At 38.7% G+C, this 26549-nt stretch overlaps 1 protein-coding gene across 4 annotated transcripts in view, besides 5 other annotated features; it reads left to right on the top strand.

Annotated features, from left to right (window-relative positions):
* Nucleotides 327–1014: an enhancer, noted in NCBI's record as "H3K27ac hESC enhancer chr2:71558505-71559192 (GRCh37/hg19 assembly coordinates)". NCBI's record gives its function as "activates a minimal SCP1, AML or CMV promoter by ChIP-STARR-seq in primed H9 embryonic stem cells {active_cell/tissue: H9 hESC(primed)}" and the evidence as "EXISTENCE:reporter gene assay evidence [ECO:0000049][PMID:30033119]".
* Nucleotides 534–743: a silencer, noted in NCBI's record as "silent region_11623". NCBI's record gives its function as "represses an Ori minimal core promoter by ATAC-STARR-seq in GM12878 lymphoblastoid cells {active_cell/tissue: GM12878}" and the evidence as "EXISTENCE:reporter gene assay evidence [ECO:0000049][PMID:35858748]".
* The window catches only part of ZNF638 (zinc finger protein 638), a 103280-nt gene continuing 77464 nt past the window's right edge, over nucleotides 734–26549 (top strand). For 2 of the 4 annotated variants that reach the window (NM_014497.5, NM_001252613.2), the window contains exons 1-3: nucleotides 734–827; nucleotides 17705–19223; nucleotides 24671–24732. In NM_014497.5, the coding sequence (NP_055312.2) occupies nucleotides 17907–19223; nucleotides 24671–24732 (1379 nt within the window). In that variant the 5' untranslated portion in view covers nucleotides 734–827; nucleotides 17705–17906. Of the gene's footprint in view, nucleotides 828–17378; nucleotides 19224–24670; nucleotides 24733–26549 lie in introns of all 4 variants that reach the window. The other 2 variants (NM_001252612.2, NM_001014972.3) reach the window with 2 other exon arrangements.
* Nucleotides 1015–1700: an enhancer, noted in NCBI's record as "H3K27ac hESC enhancer chr2:71559193-71559878 (GRCh37/hg19 assembly coordinates)". NCBI's record gives its function as "activates a minimal SCP1, AML or CMV promoter by ChIP-STARR-seq in primed H9 embryonic stem cells {active_cell/tissue: H9 hESC(primed)}" and the evidence as "EXISTENCE:reporter gene assay evidence [ECO:0000049][PMID:30033119]".
* Nucleotides 17311–17605: a silencer, noted in NCBI's record as "tiled region #7735; HepG2 Repressive non-DNase unmatched - State 17:Gen3'". NCBI's record gives its function as "represses a minimal TATA promoter and a strong SV40 promoter by Sharpr-MPRA in HepG2 cells {active_cell/tissue: HepG2}" and the evidence as "EXISTENCE:reporter gene assay evidence [ECO:0000049][PMID:27701403]".
* Nucleotides 17358–17558: a silencer, noted in NCBI's record as "peak3743 fragment used in MPRA reporter construct". NCBI's record gives its function as "represses an SCP1 promoter by STARR-seq MPRAs in K562 erythroleukemia cells {active_cell/tissue: K562}" and the evidence as "EXISTENCE:reporter gene assay evidence [ECO:0000049][PMID:32103011]".

Consider the following 26549-nt stretch of genomic DNA (forward strand, 5'->3'; position numbering starts at 1 on the left):
GCTATGACACACATCATTGCCATAGGGATCAAAAGGTGCAAGGTGACAGGATAAAAGCAGGCAAAATCTTGACCATACAAAGCATTATATTAACGTGCTAGGCGCGAATATAACCTGTTATAATATAATGTTGTTATTATTATTTGAGATGGAGTCTCACTCTGTTGCCCAGGCTGGAGTGCAGTGGTGCAATCTTCCCTCACTGCAACCTCCGCCTCCCGGGTTCAAGCAATTCACCTGCCTCAGCACCCCCTAGTAGCTGGGACTACAGGCGCGCGCCACCGGCTATTTTTTGTGTTTTTAGTAACGGGGTTTCACCCTGTTGGCCGGGCTGGTCTCGAACTCCTGACCTCAGATGATCCACCCACCTCGGTCTCCCAAAGTGCTGGGATTACAGGCGTGAACCACCGCGCCTGGCCATATAATGTTATTATTGAAGGCACAAATGATCAGGGAAGACTTCATGAAGGAGGTGAGACAATATAGGTCTTAAAAGGATGAGCGGTTTGGAGAGGACAGGCACAGAACCAGCAAAAGAGTGAAGACGGCGCTGGAGTTTTTTTTTTTTTTTGCCGCACGCCTTCGCCGCCACCACGCGGGAGCGCCCCTTCCGGGAGCCCGCTCCGCCCGGCTCTTCTCGGGCTTCGGGCGAGCGCGGTGCCAGCGGTACGCAGGCGCCGGGAGCCTACGAGGGCTCGCAGGAGCTGGGAGGCGCGCATGCGTGCAGCTCTTTGGAGGCGGTAGCGTTTTCGGCGTCGAGACTGGAGGCTGAGTGCTAAACTGTGTGGGGCGCGGATGGGATCCAGCTGTTAGTCGGGTAGGCATAGGTAGGACCGCTGCCCTGTGGGGAGTAGGGGGTTGGAAGGCGGAGGCCGGTATCGTGGGGGTCCTGAGCCCTTCCTGTGAGATCCGGGCCGACTATTGTATCTGTGTCGCAGCGGCTCCGCACAAAATGGCGGCGGGCAGACGGCGGGGGCGGGAGGAGGTTGGGGGACCCCCGGGATGGGAAGGGAAGCTGTGCTGTGCTGCCCTGCTCCGTCGTTTATTCACTTCGCTACCCGGGAGGGCCCGTCCGGGTACTCGTGAAGGACCCTGCCTCGAGAAGAGCTGCCTGACGCCGTTGCACTGGGCCGAGGATCGTGAAGAGCCCTTTGGCGAGGCCGAGGCGGCCCCTTCCCCAGCAGCGCCCGGCCTGCCGAGGCTGCGCTGGGCCTGACAGCCGAGGAAGCGGTGGTGAGGGAATGCCGAGCAGGGAGGAAGCGTTCCCGTCGGGCCCGAAGAGGCGGTGGAGTTTGAGCCGAGCCCTCTGACCAGCGACATTGTGCAAGAAGCGTGGAGAGAAGAGCGTGTTTGTGTTTGGGGTTGGGGAGGGGGTGTCGGGATGAAGGAGGGAATGTTAGGATCCAGCGGCTTTTCCGGGCTGGTGTTCTGTGCTGCGTAGTGCAGGTATGAAACCAAAGAAAATATCACCTCTGTGGGAGACTGAGGACTCATAAATGGTTGTGATACCTAACAGTATTTCCAAATTTCTCAGAGGAATTGTGAAAACAGAACGTTAGTGAATTGTTTTTGTGTGATTCTTAGCTTGGGCCCCGTTCTCTTAAAGGAAGGGGGAATGTATATATCACAGACTGGAATCCTTGAGAACGTTTGAAATAGATCTTTTGTTGTTTGAGGTAATTGTTAATGAGGGATACTTCAGTATTACAAAATCATGGATTGAGCTATAGAGTGAAGGCTACCTGAAGCTAATTTTTCTTAATCTTAAAATTTGTCCTTAGGCGAAGTTTGGGGCCAGGACCAGAAATTGTAGTAGTTTAAAGGAGTCCCGATGAAAAACTTGTCACCAGGATCCAGCGATTTATGTTCAAGTACTTTTTCCAACGAGCTCTGGAATTTTGCACAAAAAATTTTCTGCTTTTTCCCCTCATTTGTTGTAAAGGATTATTTTTTCAGGGATGTTGTGCTTGCTGGTTCAGATTTACAATTAAAAATTGATAACCTGGAGAAAAGGATTGACCAAAAAAAGGTGAATTTAAGGAAGTTTTCGGAGAAAAACAAACATGTAAATGACATTCAAATAGCTTTAAATTTTGTTAATGATTAGACATTTGAGACTTAGTGGACTTATGTTGCTGTCTTTTAAAAAAGTTTGACAGCATTTTATATTTTATTTTGTACTCCATATTCTGTAATATGTACTTCTAAATAATTACAGGGCGTCCCAGCATGTTATACATTAAAATATGCTGGGCCATTCCTTCCTTGGGGATTTATTTGTCTTGGAACCAAGAAAGGGTAAATATAACAGTTGGAAGAAATCACAAAATCTTATTCGTTTTTATTAACTAGTTTTCATAATGTGTTTATGGTCACATATTTATTGTATATTGGTTGTATTTGTTTTGTAATCCTTTTTTGCATTTTGTTTTGGAGGGTGTATACGGCAGGTACTCTAGGTTAAAAAGGTTTAGGTACTGTAGTTTAAAAAAGTCATCACTTTGTACTTGACTATCTTAGGGTTTTTCTTGGGTGCTCTTAAGTAGGTGATCTCCGGAAATTTTGTTTTTATGTAAGTGGAAGAAAATGAGACAAGTAGTTTAGTGGAAAGAGAATAGGCTTTGCAGTCGGAAGATCTGGATTCACATCTCCCTTTTCCTCAGTATGTGTGAGACTTTGGTAAATTATTTTAGTCTTTCTTGAGCTTTTGTTTCCTTATCTCTAAAATGGTGACATTATTACTTCCTGCTTGGGATTTTTGTGAGTGACTGTTAAGTGAGACAGTGTATGGAAAGCTCGTATTCCTTGGCACATACTAGGTGCTTAATGTTAGCTGTTACTTGTATTTCAAAATTGAAGTGCTTAGGCAGCATTGTTTGATAGAAAATTATAATCTGTGGGTATTCTCTTCTAATTAAACGGCTTAAAAGGATTTAGAGTAATAGAATTTTGGAGTTGAAAGGCCCTCTAATCTAACTTTCATTAAAATATTTTGTGCTTCTATAAACTTTTTACATGCCTTTCTTGTAGAACTTATCAATATATATTGTAACCATTTATATGATTGTTACGTTAGTCTTTGTATCTTTCCCAGTGCCTGGTATGTATTAGATGCTCAGATGTTGAGTGAATGAACTCAGCTGGTAGTCACCAGAGCCTGGACTCTAAATCATGCTCTTTCCACTGTACCTTAATGTATACTGATTAAGGTTTGGACTAAATTTGTCCAAATCCTTAATAAAATGCCTTATATACTTAGAAACAGTACTTCCAGTATTGGTACCCAGTAACATAGCTTGGGCTGTTTTGCAAGGAAACAGGCGCTAATGAATGCTGCCATGTAGTGGTTTTAGAGACTCTCCAAATTGAAAGTAATTATGTTTGTGGCTAAAGCTAATAAGCCCTCATGTGTATCCAGCTTATCTACTCTTAATTGCTTTAACTTTGTTTAGTGTTTTGAAATTTGTGATGGAAAATTAAAATGGAAGGAAAATAAGTATATAGAAGATGAGAAGAGAATAATGGAAAGGAAAAAGAGTGAGGAAAAGGTGAGATGTAGAAATAAAACACACAACTGTAATAATGCGGGTGAGGGCCGGGTGCGGTGGCTCATGCCTGTAATCCCAGCACTTTGGGAGGCGAGGTGGGCGGATCAGGTCAGGAGATCTAGACCATCCTGGCTAACACGGTGAATCCCCATCTCTACTAAAAATAGAAAAAAAATTAGCCGGGCGTGGTGGCGGGCGCCTGTAGTCCCAGCGACTCGGGAGGCTGAGGCAGGAGAATGGCGTGAACCCGGGAGGTGGAGGTTGCAGTGAGCCGAGATTGCGCCACTGCACTCCAGCCTGGGCGACAGAGCTAGACTCCGTCTCCAAAAAAAAAAACAAAAAAAACTCCGGTGAGGGTTAAGAATAATAAGGGTTTTGGTTTGAAAAGAAAGTCCAGGGTTTTGGTTTGAAAAGAAAGTCCAGGAAACAGGAGAAATAGCTTTAACGTACATTATGTTTTTTTGCTTTGTTTTTGAGACAGGATCTCACTCTTTCTCTAAGGCCACCATGGTTCCCTGCGGCCTCTACCTCCTGGGTGCAAGCGATGTTCCTGCCTCAGTCTCCTGAGTAGTTGGGACAACAGGCACACGTCCCCACACTTGGCTAATCTTTTTTAAAAAAATTCATAGAGACAAGGTCTTGCTGTATTGCCCAGGCTGGTCTCAAACTCCTGGACTCAAACCATCCTCCCACCTTAACCCGCCTAAATTGCTGGGATTACAGGTGTGAGCTATTGCGCCCAGCCTGTTTTCTTCATGGTTACCCTAAGGAACATATATTTTGGATTATTTTTTAATTCTTTTGAACCAAAATATATTTATTGTTCATTCAAGTTTTAAAAAAAATTTCCTATCTTATTTCCACAGTCGGTTAAACTTTTAGCTAACTTGCCTATTGTCTCTGCTGAGTTAAAGTTGCCAACTTTTGTTTTAAATATTTTTACCAAAAAAAAAGAAACAAAACCATTTTACTATGGAAAATTTTAAACATATACAAAAGTAGAGAGAATGATACTAATTCATTCATGTGCCTGTCCAGTTTCAATTATCTAGCTAATGGTCAGTCTTGTTTCATCTCTACTTGCTTATTTTTAAACAAATGCTTCTATCAGTTCAATATATAGTTCAGAATTTTCTCTAGAGTGTTTAGAAGAAAACATGCATATTACACGTAAAACAACAGTAACTATGAGTAATTAATTTTAATGTCAGATATTCAGACAGATATCAAATTTCCCCAGTTGTAACTCACTACCTCCCACCCCCATGCATATGTGGTAAAGGTTGTTGGAGTCAGGATCCAACTAATGTTCATAATTCATTTATAATTGGTTACGATTGATAACTCTCAAGTCTATAAACTCCCCACCTACCTTTTCTTAGAGTTTACTTGAAGAAAAACTTTGCTTTTTATACATTATTTAGATAATCTTTTGCTTCATCAGCATCTGAATTCATGAATTTTGATGTGACTTTAAAAATGTACTTGATAAGGCCGGGGCACGGTGGCTCACGCCTGTAATCCCAGCACTTTGGGAGGCCGAGGCAGGCGGATCATCTGAGGTCGGGAGCTTAAGACCAGCCTGACCAACATGGAGAAACCCCGTCTCTACTAAAAATACAAAATTAGCTGGGGTGGTGGTGCATGTCTGTAATCCCAGCTACTCGGGAGGCTGAGGTAGGAGAATCGCTTGAAGCCGGGAGGCGGAGGTTGCGGTGAGCCGAGATTTGCGCCCTTGCACTCCAACCAGGGCAACAAGAGTGAAATTCCATCTCCAAAAAAAAAAAAAAAAAAAAAAAAAAAACCAAAAAAACACAAGTGCTTGTTAAACAAATTGCTAGATCTCAATATAGGAAATACTGAAAGAAAGGTGGATGTAAGCAATTAACTCCTATGTCTAATATAATTTTCAAAAATTACTCGTCTTACTAAAAGAAAGAAACACCTATTAAGCATTTTGTTTACTGTTGAGCATTTTTTGAGCACCTGTTGCATGTCAGGATTTACAATTTTAGTTAATCTTCACAGCAGCATTCCCAATGGGTACTGTTGTTTCATTTTCACAGGATGAAACAGGCTTGGATTAACCAGCTTGCTCCGGGTAACATTGTTAGCAAGCAGTGGGACCAGAGTTATTTCACAGGATGAAATAGGCTTGGATTAACCAGCTTGCTCAGGGTAACATTGTTAGCAAGCAGCAGGACCAGAGTTAAAACACTGAATGTAGGGTCTAAGTTCTTAAAGACTGTGCTGCACTACCTCTCTAAAGCTGAATTAGTAGTGCTAAATTTTACTTAAGGAGTTAACTAATTTTGCATGAAGTCATTCACTGGCACCCCTCCTAGCAGGGTGGGTATCTTCAGATCAGTGGAAATTTCCCCAAAGATTAGATTATTATGGATTGCATAATAGGCTGACTAACAGTCAATAGTTAGGAAGTGAACATGATGTAGAAAAGAAGGGCCAAATCCAAAAATGTGTTTAAGGCTGATGCTCTTTATTATACTGCAGGTTTTCTGCCTCTTGCCATATTGCCTATAGTTTTTTTTTTTTTTTTGACTTTGTATAAAGTAAGAAGATCACATAGTCCAATGTTGGACATGAAATGTTGTGCCATTAACTATATTTGAATGAATTTAAGTGACAGGTGGTGGGGGAGTTCCCTGTCTCCTGCATATATGGTTTTTTCCCGAAAAGTTTGACATTAAGTTGCATATATTGTGGTCCTTTATCTCTAAATACTTCAGTGTGTATTTCCTAAAAATATTTTCTTTCACAGTCATAGTTACCAACTTCAATGAATTTCACGTTTATAAAATCCTTTTTTATTTTTTTGAGGAAGTGTCTGGCTCTGTCACCTAGGCTGGAGTCCAGTGAGTGATCTCGGCTCACTGCAATCTCTGCCTCCTGGGCTCAAGCGATCCTCCCAAGTGGCTGGGAGTACTGGCTCAGGCGCGCACCACCATGCCTGGCTACGTTTTATATTTTTTGTAGAGATGGGATTTTGCCATGTTGCCCAGGCTGGTCTCGAACTCCTGAGCTCAAGCATTCCACCTGTCTCGGCCTCCCAAAGTAGTAAGATTACGTGCATGAGCCAATGCGCAGCCTATAAAATTATTCAGTCTACTATTTGTATTCTGGTTTTTGTCAATTGACCCAATATTGTTTTTTATAGCAGTTTTTTTTTCCCCCTCCAGTACAGGACTAAACTAAGATCAGATGTTGCATTTAGTTGTTATGTCTTTTTAATCTTCCTTAGTCTGGAACATTTCCATAGTCTGCCTTTATCTTTTGTGAAGTTGACATTTTTGAAGAATACAATCTGCTTTGCTTTTCTCTTTAATAGAGCACTTCTCATTTTGGATTTATCTGATGTTTCCTCTTGATTAGATGTAGATTATATGTCCCTGGGCAGAAAAATCACGTAACTAATGCTATGTCCCCAGGATATCAGATCTGGAGATTTACCATTTCCATTTGCCCTTCATGCATGATACTATGTGTGAGCATATGCTATGGTTAAAGTGCTTGTTTCCCCCCACTCCCCCTGGAATTAATCTCTGGAGAGACGTTTTAAGACCATGCAAATATCCTGCTCATTAGAATTTACCTCTGTAACACCCACTCATGATTCTTACCTGAACCATCCTTTACTATGATGGTTGCAAAATGATTTTCTACTCCAACTGTTATTCTACATTTAGTAGTAGGTACTCAGCACTCTATAAGAGCTTCCCTTCTTCCGCATTGATTAATTTATTGCTATGTATTTATGGACTCTGTTTTTTCCAGTGTTTGATAATTTATTACTCTTCAGTTCTTTCTTGCTTTCTCCTATTTCCTATTTGTATTTCTTGTCTTTCACAATGAAAGCCCTAAGTTCCTAGCACCATCAAAACATTTACTTACTTGCTCAAACTTATGATGTATCTAAAGTAGTTTCAGAATTGCTTCATCCATACCACTACAAAAAATAAAATTACTAAAAAGAGTGAAAATTCGTTATTCTTCTCTTTCCCTTAGCTCCATCAAAACTGAGGTACATAAATCGTTTTTTATTTATTTATTTTCCTGGGGGGCTGTAACACTCGGGGTGTGGCCTCCTGTGAGGTACATAAATTGAATAGTGGTTTATAAGTTCTTGGATTAGTTTTCTTTTTCCCCTTCAATGTATTGTGGTATGCATTTGAAATATGATTGGATTAGTTTGCTTTCAGTGTTAGATATTTTTCTCCATCCCATCCTTACTGATTTTAAAAATATATGTAAATTGTTAACATGTTTCCAAAGGTTAAAACTGTATAGTAAGATGCTCCTTGAAATAACATTACCATATCCCTTCAATCCTTTCTATCCATTACCCCTTATAGATTACCAGCTTCATCGTTTTCTGTATTATTCTTCCTTTGTTTCTTTGTGCTAACCATAAAGAGGTATATGTATGTTTTCCTGTTTTCCTTTTTTGTTTAACACAAAAGATGGCATACTGTATGCTCATCTGCACTTGTAAAGACTTCAAGGCTTAAGGCTTTTAATGCATTTAGTCGGTTTAGGTTTTTTTTTTTTTTTTTTATTGAGACGGAGTCTCACTTGCACCCAGGCTGGAGTGCAGTGGCACCATCTCAGTGCACTGCAGCCTCCACCTCCCAGGTGCAAGTAGATTCTCCTGCCTCAGCCTCCTGAGTGGCTGGGATTACAGGCGCCTGCCAGCACACCCGGCTAATTTTTATATTTTTAGTAGAGACAGGGTTTCACCATGTTGGTCAGGCTGGTCTTGAATTCCTGACCTGGTGATCCGCCCTCCTCAGCCTCCCAAAGTGCTGGGATTACAGGCATGAGCCACCGCGCCCGGCCAGTTTAGGTATATTTAATTGAAGATTTTAGAACCCACTTTAGGTAAATGGAAACATTTTTTGGCCATGTTACTCCATGAAGAAAAGCAAATAACCAAATGGCAGAGAGGGCAAGGATGAGTTAGGCTTCAGAAACAATTGGGACTGGATATTGAATACCTTCATTATTGTCTTTACTTCTTGGTCTTGCTTACCTCTGTTCCAGTGGCTTTTGTTGTTGTTGTTGTTTTATGGTGCAGTTTCTCAGTAAAGCAGTAAATAGGGCTGTTAACAGCATTTGAATTTTAGAAACATCTACCACTTTTCTCATTTCTAGTTTAACAAAAAATCCTAGGGAAGATTTCTTTGTTCCAGCTTGGATAAGGTGTTTCCTCTTGGGCTAACCTGTTACACTTACTAGGAGTGTTTAGAGCAAGGCCACCAGTGCACATCTGCGGGGGAGCATCATTTACAATAAATACAATGTTGTGCTCTAGAGGCCTGTTTACGTATGCAGGTCACATGCTCCTAAGAAATAAAAAGGTATATCTTACAATAGCCCATTTATCAAAAAATCATTTTCCTGAAATTGGTAACAATATTAAATCATTGCTATATGGGATTAATGCCTGGTTCTCATGGAGATCTCTTAACATTGTGCATTAGCAGTTTTCCATTTTTTTTCAAATCTGAAATCATGGTGTTTATCAATCCTTGCAGTTAGTAGTGAAATTTGGTGTTGCCCTTCATGATGCCAAATAACGTTTCTAATTTTCTGCTTATTTTTGCTTTCTGTTTCATTGACTGTTTCTTTGAAGGCACCACATTTTGGCATTTTAACGTGAAACATGGTACTCTCTGTCAACACTTGTGGCACCCTCAGAATTGTTACTTGCATGCCTTTTGTGAGACAAGAGAGGACAAAGACTAATAGTAAAGAAGTTGGCTGAGTGGCTTTATCTGCGTGGTAGGAGAGATCAGCAGATTGAGTACCAGGAAAGCACAGAATGACATGTTAGTTTTTATAGCTGAATAAACAATCAGCCTCTTCTATTAACTACCCATTGTAATAACTGCATTCTTAAGTACCAAAGTGAATTTATATATTCTGAGACAAACAGTGCTCTAACAAAGCAGTATCAAATGAGGTATATGGGTGTATGTCTAGAAAAATAATGTTAGTGGTAGTTTTCCCTTTGTGGGAAGATTATAGAATACTTTTTTTTCTTTCCTGCATGTTATAGGGTGGTTTTTCTTTTTGGGGGGCGGATTTTGAAACTGTATTGCTTTTTTATGATTAGAAATAAAGTTATAAAGTAGATTTACACTTAATGTATCTGGTATATGGAAAGAACACCAATGGGAGATGTTGTAATCTTGTTACTTCCTAGCTGTGTTTTACTTAATGTGTGAACTGGAATTCCTTTCCTCTTAAGGTCATTGTGAAGCTCAGACGAGATAATATTTAAAGTGCTTTGTAAACTTTAAAGTAGTGTAAGTCCAAAAGTATGGTGTTTGATATAAATCTTTTCCTTATAAGTCTGATGGAGCCATTATCTGATGGATTGATTTTTGATGATGGTTTTGGATAAAGTCTGCCCATATCTGTAAAGAAAATTAAGGGCTCCCTTCCTTCTGAAAGACTGCATCAAAATAATAGGCAGTTCTTGGTTGTCTGTGGTATTGGAGATCTCAGAAATACCTCACAGGATCTAATAGCGCTATCTTTTCAATTCATCAAGCCGTTTCATCATGGCTTCCTCAAGAACCCAGTTTCTACTATGTTTCTGAAAGAATTTTTATGGTTGACATTATATTGAATATTTCTTGTTTTACAGTGGTATGTTTTAGTTCTTAAAAGGACATAAATGAGAGTTATTAGTTACTTGTTAAAACAGTTCAAAGGTTCAGCATGTTTTGTCACTATTAAGTATCCAGTTTTTGAAAAATAGTAAATTTAGAAAAATAAAATGTCAACTGAAAAGAGCAAATAGTATACTTCTAATTTTGTACAGTGTTTAATATACCCCACCCCCCCATCATGCGTGCATGAACGTACACTAAAGTAGATGAAACTATACCAGAGTATTAATTTACTCTGGGTGATGGTTTTATTGGTAAGGATTTTGTTTGCAGCTTTATTGTTTCTGTAACAAGCACACATTACTTACATAACTAGGAATAAAACATTTATTTTAAAGGGTTAATGCTACTTAATTGCAGTTTTTTCCCCAACAAGTTAATAGTTAAGAACCCTGATCTCAACTCTTCGTTTTTCCAGGTTATTTATTTCATAAGATGACTATCCATAAATCTTCCGATGAACGAACCTCTTTATGACCAGAGCTCCTGGGGTTAAAGGAGAAAGGTTTTATAATGGCTGTCTTAATTTGTTTGGTGGTTTTCCAGGTATTAATGCCAAATTTGCCTTTGTTTAGTTTCTGTTTCTTATCACACTGTTTTCAGGTTACATCATTATCTTAAAAAGGCAGAGGCTTTATTTTCTTCGTTGTGATATAACCTAATTCTTAGAGGTTTCTTACCAAGATCACTTTGCTTGTTTTGCTTAATTTTATTTTCTAAATTTTACAAATTAATATTTTCCACCAAAAGGTGGAACGAAACAAAGACAGCAAAATATCAAACTGTTTAGTAATAGTTAAAAAAGTCAAGTGGGAAGGAAGGTTGAGGCTGAGGCAGGAGAATCGCTTGAACCCAGGAGGTGGAGGTTTCAGTGAGCTGAGGCTGCGTCACTGCACTCCAGCCTGGGTGACAGTGAGACTCTGTCTCAAAAAAAAAAAAAAAAAAAGTCATACTAATATTTAGGACTTAAACTTTTTATTTTGGAAATCTTCAGAAATGTAAAAAAAGCACAGATAAATTCTTAGGGACTCAGCTTCCACAACCAGTATTTTTACGTGTCTTGCTTCATCAAATTCCCTTCATCTACCACCACCACCGCCCCTTGCCCCACTACACATGTTCACTCTTTCCCTCACCTCCGCCCAGATTATTTTAAAGAAAATCTCAGACACATTATTTTACTCATTAAGCACTTGAGCCTGTAACTTTTGCCTCTTTTTGCCAGTGCATCTGTGAATCTACATAGGTAACTGTAGATTTAAAGTTTATAATAGCCAAAGAAAAGGCATTGGGATGATGATGGTGGTGAGAGGAAAAAGAAAAGTACATACGAGAAGTATTGACAGGAATACACTGAATTTTATAGTTAGAAATGGAGATTTTTGTGCGTGCGTGTGTGTGTGTGTCTTGGCAATTTGGTAAGGGAATTGGTGTAGAGAGAGCAGAGGATTGAAAAAGCCACTAAAAACAGTAGCTGACATATGGCATAAGGGATGTTGGTTCCTAACACTTTTTTTCTGTCTTCATAGCTGACGTCTATCAAATAGTCCTGAGGGTGCGAAGACTAATGTTTTAGCTGAAGCTATTTTTTTTTGTCTTGAATATTATGCCTTTGTCAGAAATATGTAGTTAATAAGTTATAATTTACTTTTTATCATTTCCAGTACAACTGTCTTACAGTATTTTATCCAAAGACTTTAGGATACTCCAAATTTTTGAAAATTTGATAAACATGTTTAGTAAGACATTGTTATTTGAAATCTCATTTGTACTAGTTTCCTCAAAACTGTAGAAGATGCCATCCTACAAAACTCAATTCAAGCATTTCTGTCTTCCAGAAATCCTTTTCTGATACCTCAGCCTTGTTATAATACTGACAAACGTTACTGAAATTTGTTTTTTTTCTGTTAGATTGTTGGCACTTTGGCTATAGGAACGCAACTGTATTTTATTTGGCTTTGAAACTAAAAAGTAGCCTGGTGACTGTCATGTTAGGCTCTCAGAAGATATTTAATACATTGAGTGAATAATTCTGAGCTTACTCCTTTCCACTAAAAACAAAAAGGGGAAAAAGAAGGGTCTGTTAGGATGTATCTCCTCACCCCACCCCACAGTGGCATGCAGGATTTAGATGGAAACTTGTAAGAAGGAAATTTGTGACCTACTGTCATTCCCAATTAAATGTTCCTGCCTGCCAATAAGTAAAACAGAAACAACAAAAATCAGTGTTTAGCAAAATTGAGATGTATGGAAGTGATCGAGTAGAAGGCATTAGGCATGTAGCAGTGTAGGAGAGCCAGTAGCTAAAAATTAAATGGAATAGAAGAGAGATTAGATTGTCTCCTAACCATGTGAATTGAGGCCTTAAAAATGTAGATTCTGACACCCCTAAATAGAATTTCTTAACCTTTTTGGGTCATAGACCTTTTTGACAAGTAGATGACAGACTCTTATAGTTTGAATTTGAATTTTCTGCTTTCTGCTCCCCTCTCCCCACCAAAAAAACTCACGTTTTCCTGTTGTATCACACCATCTCCTGTTAAAATTAACAGCTTGCCGCCAGGCGCGGTGGCTCATGCCTGTAATCCTGGCACTTTGGGAGGCTGAGGCGGGTGGATCACAAGGTCAGGAGATCGAGACCATCCTGGGTAACATGGTGAAACCCCGTCTCTACTAAAAATAAAAATAATCAGCCGGGTGTGGTGGCACGCACCTGTAGTCCCAGCTACTCAGGAGGGCGAGACAGGAGAATTGCTTGAACCTGGGAAGCGGAGGTTGCAGTGAGCCAAGATCACGCCACTGCACTCCAGCTTGGGCGACAGAGCGAGACTCCGTCTCAAAAAAAATAAAAATAAAATAACAGCTTGCCCTCTACTTTTAGTATCCAAATTCTGAAACTCTCTCCAACCCAGAATAATTTTCCTATCTTTTTTGTATGGATTCTGATTCTGGTCATTAAAAGCCTTTACGTAGTAGTGTCCCTTTTTCTGAGGGAGATACGTTCTAAGGACCTGCCAGTGGATGCTGAAAATACAGATGTACTATAGTTTATTTGACCAGTTTCCAGTCTCTCTGCAAGCTTTTATAATTGCAGAAGCATGAAAAGGGAAGTTTTCAAGAGATTTCTAACTATATATTGTATCATTTTGGTTACCCTAATTTCATGAGATACTAGCTCCATCTTAAAAAGTAGAGTGTTAGCTATATGAAGGAGAGATCTGTTCTGGCTGTAATATCTTTGGTCAGTAATTATTTTGTATGAATAAAGGCTGAATTTGAACTTATTCTCTAGATTTATTGCTAAGAAAACTTTCTCAAAATTTCTTGGGAGTACTTAACATTTAAAAAACTGTCTTGAATGGCCTGATACTTAATCTTGTAATTTTATTCCCTTGAATTGATTGAGAAGGACATACATAAAAGTTAAGTGACAAAGTAGAAGTGCTGTTGGTGGGGCACCTAAGTTAAATTTGAAAAAATAAGGCTTCAGAATTATGTAATTGCAAAAGGAAACTATAATACCTTATAAATAGAAAGCTTGAAGTATAAATAACAAGCATCCTTTTAGTTAAAACATTTTATTTGGAGTGGATATGAATGGTAGAAGACAAACTTTGCTAAATGATTAAAAATGTAGCTAACCTTTTTAATTAAAAGTGAAAATTGTGCAAATGAAATATGAGTATACAGTAGTCTCCCCTTATCCATGGCTATACTTTCTGCAGTTAGTTACCTGTAGTCAACCACCATCCAAAAATAGGTGAGTATGGTATGAGAATGACATTTTGAGAGCAACCACATTCATAAAACTTTCATTATGCTATATTTTAATTATTTTTAATTGTTAATCTCTTACTGTAGCTGATTTATAAATTAAATGTTATCACAGGTATGGATATATAGGAAAAAACACAGTATATATAGGATTTAGTACCATCTATGGTTTCAGGCATCCATTGGGGATCTTAGAATGCATCCACCTCAGAGAAGGGGTGACCATTATACTCCTTAAATTTCATTCACAAAGAAAAGGCAACATAATGCTTACTTTTTTTAACCATTGAAGATATGTTATTTGGCATATAGGTCATAGGCAGATATTTTATTTATATGAATTTTTTGAGACAGTGTCTGCTTTGCCACCTAGGCTGGAGTACAGTGGTGGAAACAGCTCAGTGCAGCCTTGACATCCTGAACTCAAGCAGTCCTACCACCTCAGCCTCCTGAGTAGCTAGTTGGAAAAAACCAACATGCTTGGTTTTTTCATTTTTGTAGAGATGAGGTCTCACCATGTTGCCCAGGCTGGCCTCGAACTCCTGGGCTCAAAGCAGTCCTCCTGCCTTGGCCTCCCAAAGTATTGGGATTACAGGTGTGAGCCACCTGTATTTTTTTTTGTAGAGACAGGATTTTGTCATGTTGCCCAGGCTGGTCTTGAACCCCTGGGCTCAGAGCAGTCGGCCTGCCTTGGCCTCCCAAAGTGCTAGGACTACCGGCGTGAGTGAGCTACCTCACCTGGCCTCTCATAGACTTTAATATGCTAATAGACATTGTTCCCCTCTAAAAGGCAAGTATGGTGGCCTTCAAACTTTCTTGGCCAGGCAACATCTTTGTAGAAGACCACTCTTAGAGTACTCTAGTATTCTGGAGAATACAGTTTGTCAGGGGCAGTTGTCTTAACCTTCTATAAATGTGTACTTGAATCATTGTAATGCAATGTTGGGCACATTAGGAAATACACAGTACATTTTTGCCTTTAAGGAATTTTAAATGGAGATTGTTCCAAATGATACTTATTCACAATTCCATTTAGTAATTAGATCACTCTGATTGAAATTTGTTCTTTTGCTGTTTTATTTTGGGGGAGAAACATTATTTGAAAGAGCTTGTGCTTATGAAGTTATAAGAGGAGTCTTCACCAAATGGAATAAGTGGTTCAGAAAGCATTGTAATAACTACATGATAAACTGCTTACATAAGCAATGCGTATCTTTTAGGATTGGGTGAAGACAGTTGTTTTTGGAAGATATTTTATTATGTAGAAGGTAGGCACAATTTCATATGATTCATGATTGTTTAAAAAGACCGTGAGTTTGTTACAAATGAACTTTTTAACAGAATGTAGGTATCATTGTTTGGTAAGCTTGTGTCTGCAGCTTGTATCTGGTGAATCAAAAGCCTGTGTATTTGATGTGTTTTTGTGTTTCATTCTAATTTGAAAATTAACCTGTGCATGTTACTAATGAGTACTTTGGATGTGACCAGATAGTTTAACAAATACTTGAGGATCTTTTGAGTAGGAGTAGGGTTTATATGCCTGGGGGATAAGACTTAGCCATGAACATAAACCTTCAACTGACATTAGGTTGTTGAAAAAGACCATGTGTGTGTGAGTGCAAAAACATAAGATAGTAAGAATCCAAAAATGGTGCAAGCAATAAATAAAGGTTATTGAATGCCGGGCGACGTGGCTCATACCCCAGCACTTTGGGAGGTCAAGGCAAGTGGATCACTTGAGATCAGGAGTTTGAGACCAGCCTGGCCGACATGACGAAACCCCATCTCTACTAAAAATACAAAAAATTAGCCAGGTAGCATGGTGGCACATGCCTGTAATCCCAGCTACTCGGGAGGCTGAGGCAGGAGAATGGCTTGAACCCAAGAGGTGGAGGTTGCAGTGAGCCGAGATTGCGCCATTGGACTCCAGCCTGAGTGACAAAGTGCATCCCTGTCTTTAAAAAAAGAAAAAAAAAAGAAAGATTATTGGAAGACTCACTCTTGGCATTGGTAGTCAAGGGAGGTTGAATGGGGGTGACCTTGAAGGATGAATAAAGTCAGGTGAGCGTCCAGGGCAAGGTTTGTTTTTGATTGGAAGAGATGAAGAGATTTGGGAAGAATAGGAACAAAGGCATAGCAAAAATACCTGTCTGATAAAATTAGAGAGATTGGTTAGATTGGTTGGACCTTAAACAATAAAGCTAAGAAATGAAGGGAATGAGATATTTGTGGATTTTTGAACAGAGGAGTTGTGTGGTGAAAATGTCCTTTTGCAAAGGTTAAATGTGGTGGCAGCATGCAAAATGATTGGAGGGAAGGGTGTTAACCAGATAAAGACCATTTTCCCAGCCAAATTAACAATTACTAACATTATATATAAATAGAGAAAAGTGTATAGTAAAGTAACGGATGAAATTGTGGCTTGAACCAGACAGTGATGGTTAGCAAATAGGATCCATGATGTTGATGTTTATAACAATTGTAGATGCCTCAAGACCTCACATTTTCCACCATGCATTTCAATCACACATAAAAGTGAGGTCCTGATAGCACCAGCATAGTCTATATGCTCATACATTTTTTAATTGTAGAAAAGGCAAGTTGTGTGGCTGCTGACCTTGGTCCTGAATGGTAGCTAAAGTACTGTTTTCTGAGAAGAGTGTTGAAGGGGGTAGTACAGTCTGATGGGCTGGTCAGCAACCAGTTTTAACTAATAAAGTGCCTGGAAACTGTAAGTTACTTTTACTCACATCTGTTAATGGTTAAGAGCACAGATTACTGGACCAGATAACCTTGAATACAAATCTCAGCACAGTCACTTTTCTTTGTAAGTTACTTTACCTGTGTGTGCCTTAGTGTCTTCCTCTGTAAAACTGTACATATCTCAGGACTGTTGTGAGCATCAAATGACCCATTCCATTTAAAGTTCATAGAACGCTGACTGACACGTGGACAGTGCTCTATATAGTTAATCATTATTGTCATCCATATATATTCGTCCATACTGCGTCTATGGATGGAATCCAAGGGAAGGGTTACTGGTTTTGTTATGTATTATGTTCTATGTTATAACGAATTCCATGCCATTGCATACTGTTTTCTTAGACTCTGTAGTCAGGTTATTGGCAACAAATTTTTATCTTACAAGAAACAACTATTTAATAATAGGAACATAAGTGTAGTTTAATTGCCCTATGGGATTTATTAGATGTCAAGGCTGATTCCAAGGAAGATTGTGTTTTACAAAAATGGGTCTTTTAGGCTTACAGTTCTTACTTTCATTATTTGTATATCTGATAACATGCGTATTAAATGTGTGCATTTATAAGTATTTTAATGCCTTCATCTTTTTTTTCCCCAGTATTACAGCGTGAAATAAATTCCCAGTATTTTTCAAGATTATGTAAAAGGAGTTGTAATTACTGCTCAGCACCTAGGACAGCACCCAGTGCAACACAATGTACATGAACTCTGGCTTGAGGTTTGGGGCTTGTGTTCTGCATTCAGGAAAGAAAAGAAGAGAAAGTTTTTGGGAAATTTAAATCTTCGTAAGCCCTTACTCTAAAAGTATATGAAATGCAGAATGGTTTCATGGCTTTATTTCAAAATGTTTTACACTGGCTGTAGAACCCACTTCATGAAGTAGTTTGAGTTAAAATGATCTAATATTTGTGTTTTAACTTTCAGCTTTGTGTTATTCTTGGAAAATTTCGCACCACTTGTGAATTCCTTGAACCTGGGCATTGCAAACCCACTTCTGTTGGGCCCATCTCCTTTGCACTTTGCTCAGATTAAGACTCAGTTGGCGCTTCAGCAGCTGAATGCCGTTGCCTCACATGGTTCAACACCACCTTATACTTTATTAAATCAGGCTTTCTTGAAAATAGCCATGTCGAGACCCAGGTTTAATCCTCGAGGAGACTTTCCACTTCAAAGGCCACGAGCACCTAACCCTTCTGGGATGAGGCCTCCAGGACCATTTATGAGGCCTGGATCTATGGGTCTCCCAAGATTTTACCCAGCAGGGAGAGCACGTGGAATTCCACACAGATTTGCTGGCCATGAATCTTATCAGAACATGGGGCCACAGAGAATGAATGTTCAGGTAACTCAACACAGAACTGATCCAAGATTGACCAAAGAAAAACTGGATTTTCATGAAGCACAACAGAAGAAGGGGAAGCCTCATGGTAGCCGGTGGGATGATGAGCCTCATATATCTGCATCAGTGGCAGTGAAACAGAGTTCTGTAACACAGGTTACAGAGCAGAGTCCCAAAGTACAGAGCCGCTATACAAAAGAGAGTGCCTCAAGTATCTTAGCAAGTTTTGGATTATCTAATGAAGACCTAGAAGAACTTAGTCGCTATCCTGATGAACAACTAACTCCTGAAAATATGCCATTAATTTTGAGGGATATAAGAATGCGAAAAATGGGGCGCCGATTACCTAATTTACCTTCTCAGAGCAGAAATAAAGAAACACTTGGTAGTGAAGCAGTTTCAAGTAATGTGATCGATTATGGGCATGCAAGCAAATATGGCTACACAGAAGATCCACTTGAAGTACGTATTTATGATCCTGAAATTCCAACTGATGAGGTCGAGAATGAATTTCAGTCACAGCAGAACATTTCTGCATCTGTTCCCAATCCAAATGTGATATGTAATTCTATGTTTCCTGTTGAAGACGTATTTCGCCAAATGGACTTCCCCGGTGAGTCCTCCAATAATCGGTCCTTTTTCTCAGTTGAGAGTGGAACCAAGATGTCAGGCTTACACATTTCAGGAGGACAGTCAGTCCTTGAACCCATAAAATCCGTCAACCAATCCATTAACCAAACAGTTAGCCAGACAATGAGTCAATCTCTGATTCCTCCATCTATGAACCAGCAACCTTTTTCGTCGGAATTAATTTCATCTGTAAGCCAGCAAGAGCGGATCCCACATGAACCTGTGATTAATTCATCTAACGTACATGTTGGATCAAGAGGAAGTAAAAAGAATTACCAGTCACAGGCTGACATTCCCATTCGGTCTCCCTTTGGTATTGTGAAAGCATCCTGGCTACCAAAGTTTTCACATGCTGATGCCCAGAAGATGAAGAGACTTCCAACTCCTTCTATGATGAATGATTATTATGCAGCATCTCCAAGAATATTTCCACATTTGTGTTCTCTGTGTAACGTAGAATGTAGTCATTTGAAGGTGAGTGTTTTTAAAAAAAGATCACTGTATAATGATGCTCAGCGCCAGTTTTCTCTAAATTCTGATATGTATGCTGCTTGTTAACTAGGCGTTAAGGAAATGGCAGAAGGTAATTTTAATTGCAACCTCAATACATAGTTGTAATCTTAAGTAGCCCTGGCCTTAGTACTGAATTGAATTTTAGGCTTACTGTATTCCTATGACCGGGCACACCATATTTTAGTAGTGTGTCCATTTATTTTGAACTTTTAGTTATCCCACTTACGCAACATAAAATTTATGTAACATAAGCTGCGTACTTACAAGACAATGTCACATGGAATCACCTTTCTCTAAAAGGATCTGTTAGTATAAAAATACAAAGAGATGGTATAACCCATTTGTAATGCACACATTTAAGAGACAGTATATTATAGCCTTGCACATATACACCTGTCTTGGGATAAAGACAATTAATGTTGATTTAAATATTTCCTGACTTTATGTAGACTAGTGATTTTTAGTATTTTTTGAGAAGAAGCTTTCTAAAATAACTTCATAGCAAAAATAAGTCAAGGTGCAGTAATTATTCTGGGACCAGCTGTGGACTCAGAAAATAGTGTAAAATGATAGAAATTTGTAGAGAAAAATCTTTAAAAAATAAAGATGATTTAGGTAGTTTGATAGTATAGTTAGAAGGAAGTATTTTGCAGAGGCAGTGAAGTGTACTATAATGTAGAACATACTGTTCAGTCGTAATCATTGGTAGATTTGAGCAGGAATTTCCAAGTAAATTTTATTTACTTACGTATGGTTGGCAATCACTGTTTCTTCTATTTACTAATGTGATTTATAGATTTAGATTGTAAAGGGTCAGAAGAGAATATACTAACATGGGAAAAAGCTTTGATTCAAGGCCATGGCCTGGAATTGGTTGTATACTTAGGCTTAAAAATCTGTGTGTTAACGCTCTTGTTCTTTTCTTCCAGTGCTGCCTTTCGATTTTCTTTTCATTATTTACTCACTAGGTTTTCGTCAACATGAATCTGATAATTAGATCTGTTGGTATTTTCTTAAGGTTAACTCCAGCAAAAGAAAGCAGCATTCTACCCCATTTTAGCCAGATGTGCCAAATTCTATTAAAATAATAGTTGCCTTATTCCATCAGAAGGGATAGCAAAGTCCTTACAAGGGAAAGTCTTAGAATAATTCATATCACCTAATTGTAATCTGTAAGTAGCCCTGGCCTAAGTAGTGAATTGAGTGTTTGTCTGTATTCTTGTGACTGGGCATACCACATAATTTTTTTTAATTGATTTTGAACTTTTAATTAATCATAATGAATCCAAGAAAATACATCTTTAAATAAAGAACTTGAAGTTTTGTATTCTGTAGAGTAGAAAAGGTGTACATTTAATTTAGTATGTACTTATGGATACCAGTTTTGTACTTGACTCCAATTAGGTACTGGGGCAGAAATGAGGAACTGTGTAAAATTTTAGATGTTATTAAGCAGTTTATTCAGTCTTATTGGGGAGAAAAATTATGCTCCCAAGACATTTAAAACAATTAGAAGACAACAAGTGGTTTTGTGATTGATTTAACTTGTTTGGATATGCTGTAGGGGACAGAGATTTCTGTCTTGATTTCAGGCATGTATCACTCAGGCCAGCATCATCAATTTACCAATTTAATCATTACCAATTTGCCAATTTAATTATTTTAACTATTGTATTTGTAACAGTATGTGTTTAAAAATAAGTATAAATATGCATCCTGACATCAAAAGACTTTTATAGCCTAGTTAGACTAATGGAATGTCAGTTACTAAATGCACTAAGTCTGTCTTGACTAGAATGATGTGGGAGAGAAGACTTCATGGAGTAGGTTGAAGATGGGTCTTGAATTGAGGCTTTAGATATGCCTGTATAAAGAGGAGGAGGGGGCCGGGCACAGTGGCTCACTGCCTGTAATCCCAGCACTTTGGGAGGCCGAGACAGGTGGATCACCTGAGGTCAGGAGTTCAAGACCACCCTTACTGACATGGTGAAATCCTGTCTCTACTAAAAATACAAGAATTAGCCGGGTGTGGTCATGCGCACCTGTAATTCCAGCTACTCAGGAGGCTGAGGCAGAGAATCGCTTGAACCCAGGAGGCAGAAGGTTGCAGTGAGCCGAGATCGCGCCGCTGCACTCCAGCCTGGGTGACAGAGCGAGACTCCATCTCAAAAAAAATAAAAAAAATAAAAAAAAAAAAAAAGAAGAGGAGGGTTGGCGGCAACAACATACAGAGAGGCAGAGGTCCGGAGAGAAGACTACATTTCATTGTGGTAGGAGGCAGTTGGGAAAGAGTGATGAGCGTATTAGAAATAAGTACGAAAGGCTTTGAAGAGCTAGCCTAGGAGTTTAGACTTGAGGTGAGAGGCATTAGAAAGCTAAATAAGTTTGTTGATAAGTGAAGTGACATGTTGGAAGTATATTTTAGGGAGATCTGACTGAAGTATGCAGGGTAAATAGAAATGAGATGATGTGGAGTAGGACTTCCACTTGGAAGCTTCTTTAATTGTTCAAGTATAAGATGGTAAAAACCTGGGTTAATAGGATAAAAGTAAAAATTTGAGAGGAAAGGAAATCATTTAGTCATCATTAGAGCTCACCTAGATAGATTGCCATTAAAAAACAGACACACCTTTTAACAGCACAACAGAATGGGGCTCATCTAAGTAATGAATTTTTCACTACTAAGTGGCCAAATGATAGGGATTTGTGAAGATGGATTTCGATGGTACACACTGCCTCTCGTTTCTGTGATATATTTTGCAGCCTCGTAAGTGTTCCTGTGTGTGTATATATGACATAAATATGAAGCCAATAAATGTAAATTACCAATTGTAAACTTTTTCCTATTGAGTAAATCTGACAATATGTATATTCCCCACCTTCGAGTCTTTGAAACTATAGCTGTGAAGATGTACTTTGAGAACGTGAAATGTATTTGCTTGTTAAATTGGGGTTCAGATTTTAAAGGAGAAACTTCCCTTGGTTTAGGAGCTGTGTCATAATGACTGAAATAATTCAGTTTGAGAAAGTACCGACAATAAAAAATTGTTGAGAATAGTGAGTGAGCCCTGATACGAGTAGTTATATATTTTCAGTTTCATTCTGAGCCTGCCTAATTCTGTGCAGTCCTTGCAGCATCTCCTGCTAGTAGGTAATTATCACTTTTTCTCTGGGGAGGCAGTGCTGCTTTTGGACTATAATGTGGAAACTATTACTAGAGAGTCTAGAAGTTGGGGTGGGATGGGTGTGTTTACTGAGCTTAAAGCAAGTAATGTCAATTTGTGAAGCAAGCCTAAGAATGTGTGTATGTGTGTTGAACTGAGAAGAGTATATCTTAAATAGGGCAGCCATCATCTTCAGGTGATAGTTGCTGTAAGAATGATATCCTGTATTACTGTATCTTCCTATTTTTTCAAGAAAAGCTGGAAATCTGGACTTGCGGGTAAAAATCTCTGGATTATTAAATGTTGGCAACGTATTCAGATAAAACACTTTATGGTTCAAATAAATCATGCCCAACCCACTGCCTGCACCAGTGTGTCTGTTTGATGTAAACAGTGTCCAATTAATATTAAAAATATGGGTTTTAGTACTACTAGAGACTCTTCTTCTAGCTTTCTATTTGTATTATTAAACAGGATGTACAAACATTTCTTTTTTGTAGTCCACAATCAGTTCCATGGCTTAATGAAATAGTTTAGGATTTGTCATACCTTGTTGCTGAGTTTAAATTGATGCTGAGCATTGCAAATCAGTGTACCTTCTTTCAGATAGTTCTTGCCAAGGCAGAATCCAAAATTATTGTCAACCGTGGTTTTAACTGTGGAAACTTCTAATGACCTAAACTAAAATGTATTTCAAATGGAAACAAATAATAACATTTTCCTTAAGCAAAGTGTTGAAATACGAAGTTATTTAGTAAGTTTTCTGCCTTTCCAAATGCTGGAGGAACAGTAAAACATTGAGTAACATACATATTGCTTTTAACTAATTGTTTCACCTTGGAAACTGTATCTTTGTAAACTGTATTGGCTTTTTTTTTTTTTTAACCAGATGTATCTTCCAGAGTTATTTATGGGTACACATTGTAATTTTAGGACAGATTTATTTGTAAATGAAGTAATGTATAAGAAAGCATTTTGGGCTGGGCATGGTGGCTCACGCCTGTAATCCTAACACTTTTGGGAGGCCGAGGCAGGTGGATCACCTGAGGTCAGGAGTTCGAGACCAGCCTGACAAACATGGTGAAACCCTGTCTCTATTAAAAATACAAAAATTCACCAGGCTTGGTGGCACATGCCTGTTAATTCCAGCTACTAGGGAGGCTGAGGCAGGAGAATCACTTGAACCTAGGAGGTGGAGAGTGCAGTGATCCGAGATCGCCTCATTGCACTCCAGCCTAGGCAGCAAGAGTGAAACTGTCTCAAAAAAAAAAGAAAAGAAAAAAAAAAAAGAAGCATTTCGTTAATTGTAAAGCTCAAAGCTCTATATGTAAGGGATATTGTATCTTTGAAATGTTGTTACTTTTAAATTTTGAAAATAGATTTGATCAGTAGCATTTTTCCCCATGTTTTTCCTAATCTTATTTGCCAGTATAGTGAGTACCTTGTATGGAATGGTACTGGTCTATCAGGTAGCATTTTTATTTTATTTTTATTTTTATTTTTATTTTTTTGGAGACAGAGTCTCGCTCTGTCGCCCAGGCTGGAGTGCAGTGGCGCAATCTCGGCTCACTGCAAGCTCCGCCTCCCGGGTTCACGCCATTCTCCTGCGTCAGCCTCCTGAGTCGCTGGGGCTACAGGTGCCCGCCACAACGCCTGGCTAATTTTTTGTATTTTTAGTAGAGACAGGGTTTCACAGTAGTGTCGATCTCCTGAACTCGTGATCCGCCCTCCTTGGCCTCCCAAAGTGCTGGGATTACAGGCGTGAGCCACTGCGCCCGGCGGCATTTTTTGATTGTTGATGTTGTTAGCGTGAATTTTAGAGGTATTTGTCATTGAAATATTGTATTTTGAAGATGCTGTTTCACAGATACCGTTTTACTTATAGATTTTTTGGTGTTTTCTGGTGTGTTGTTTTTATATTTGCAGTAAGTTTTTTCTGATCCATGCTTTTATTTTCTCCAAGTTTATATATTGATTTCAAAATGAGCATCCACGGGTATGATTTTGAAAATGTTTTCTGTACTAAAATATTTTCAAATGGGATCAGTGAGGTATGGTATTAAGTGCATTTGTTTCAAGGCCTTTAATTTTTGTTTGTGAAAATTTTACTGAGCAGCCAAATGCTATTTATGAGTACGTTTGTTTAATTTTTGAACAAAATATTATTTGTCTTTTTTAAAAGCCTAATTCATTAGTCAACATGAGGAATATTCTAATTTCAACACTTTTCTCCTTTTACAATAGGATTGGATTCAGCATCAAAATACATCTACTCATATTGAGAGCTGTCGACAGTTACGTCAACAGTAAGAATATATTTTTCCTTTATTATAGATAGCATATTTACAAAATAGTTAATGTTCAGATGTGACTGTTAAATACCTTTAGTATAATACTTTGGAGAAAAATATTTTTGGAAAGCTATTGTCTTTTAAAAATATTAGTTTTCTGGAAGTATATTTAATATTTTTCCAAAATGGTAGAATTCAGTATATCCTTTGACACTTTTCTAACTTAATTCCCAGTAGGTAAACTTTTTATGTCATTAGTTCATTCTTTGCTGGCTTACCTTCCCCAGGATCTTTTATCTATATCAGAGCAGGTATCCTTTCTTCTCCTATCTCCACCTCTTCCCATAGGACAAGTAACTGAAAATCAGTGCAAACCAAACACCAGTATTTAATTTTGGACCTAAAGCTCTTCTCTGACTTAGAACCAGTTTTCAGAATATACCTTAAGTAAGGGATGGACAAGCTAGATGTCTTGCTTCCTTAACCTTGGCTCTTCAATTCTTCCCCCTTTTTCTTCTTAAAGACAGGGCACCTGTGAAGTTTTCCCTACTGGCCATAGAGGTGAAAAAGTGTGATTTTAACACTATGTTCCTGTATCTCTTGGAGTAACATCAAATTAAACTCTGTCTTCCCTAGTACCATTAAACAGTTCCTAGCCACTAGACTGAGAGTAACGTGTTATTGGGCAAATGGATTTGAGATTATTATTGAGAATCCTTTTGGTTGTAAGTGGTTAAAGTTGCAGATTAGTTGCTGGCTCATGACTGTAATCTGAGCACTTTGGAAGGCTGAGACAGGTAGGCTTGCTTGAGCTCAGGAGTTCAGCCTGGCCAACACAGCAAGATCTTGTCTCTACCAAAATAAAAATAAAAAAATCAGCCAGGCATGGTAGTACACATCTGTAGTTATAATATTTGGGAGGCTGAGGTGGTAGCATCACTTGAGTGCAGGAGATAGAAGCTTCAGTGAGCCATGATTGTGCCACTGCACTCTAGCCTGGGCGACAGCCTGTTTCAAAAAAAAAAAAAATTTTTTTTTTTTAAGTAAGAATTTGTAAGCTCACTTAACTGGGAAGCTTAAATGAGGTTGGTGGTTCTATTAATAAGTTTCAGGAGCAGCTGTATTGGATGCTCAAATAAAAATTGGTGTCAGAAATACTTCTTTCTTAGCTGTTGTCTTTTGCATTGGCCTTATGAAATCTTGGACACACTTCTTTCACATAGCAAAATGGACCCCACGGTTCTGGATGTAAGTGATCTGTATAGCTGGCATTTCTAGGAGTTTTTTTGTTGTTGTTTTTGTTTTCCTTATCCCACCCCTCACTCTATGACACAGCCTCGGGAGGTTCTGAGAATATATGCCTCTCCCATCTGACCTTTTTCCTTTAAAGCACTTCTTTCTCCATAACTCTGGCAGAAGTCCTTGTTTTGACTCTTTTGGTTCAATTTTGGTTAGTTGTCCATCCCTAAACACATTATAGTGGCTGTGGGAATAGGGTAGTCCATCTCGGTTTGTGTCATATGTCTGCTCCGGGTGTTGAGAGTGAGATAAGTGTCACCTGGATCTTTTGCACTAAGACTGGAAATTGGGGTTACTATCCTATATAGATGCTGTAAAGACAAACATAGGTTATCATGGGGAGATAATTTGTTACCTGAATTAGATACGCCTTACTGCCACTGTAAGGAATACAGTCGAAAATCGAAAATCTCTCCTAAGCAACATTTTCCCAGAGGTACCCAGTGGGATGTCTTAATTCTTATGAAGGTGAATTTTTAGTTGGATGGGGGTGAGTTACTTATTTTAGAGAGTCATTCATGCTAGTAAGAGGA

This window comes from Homo sapiens, chromosome 2, assembly GCF_000001405.40.
Source record: "Homo sapiens chromosome 2, GRCh38.p14 Primary Assembly".
Taxonomy (NCBI): domain Eukaryota; kingdom Metazoa; phylum Chordata; class Mammalia; order Primates; family Hominidae; genus Homo; species Homo sapiens.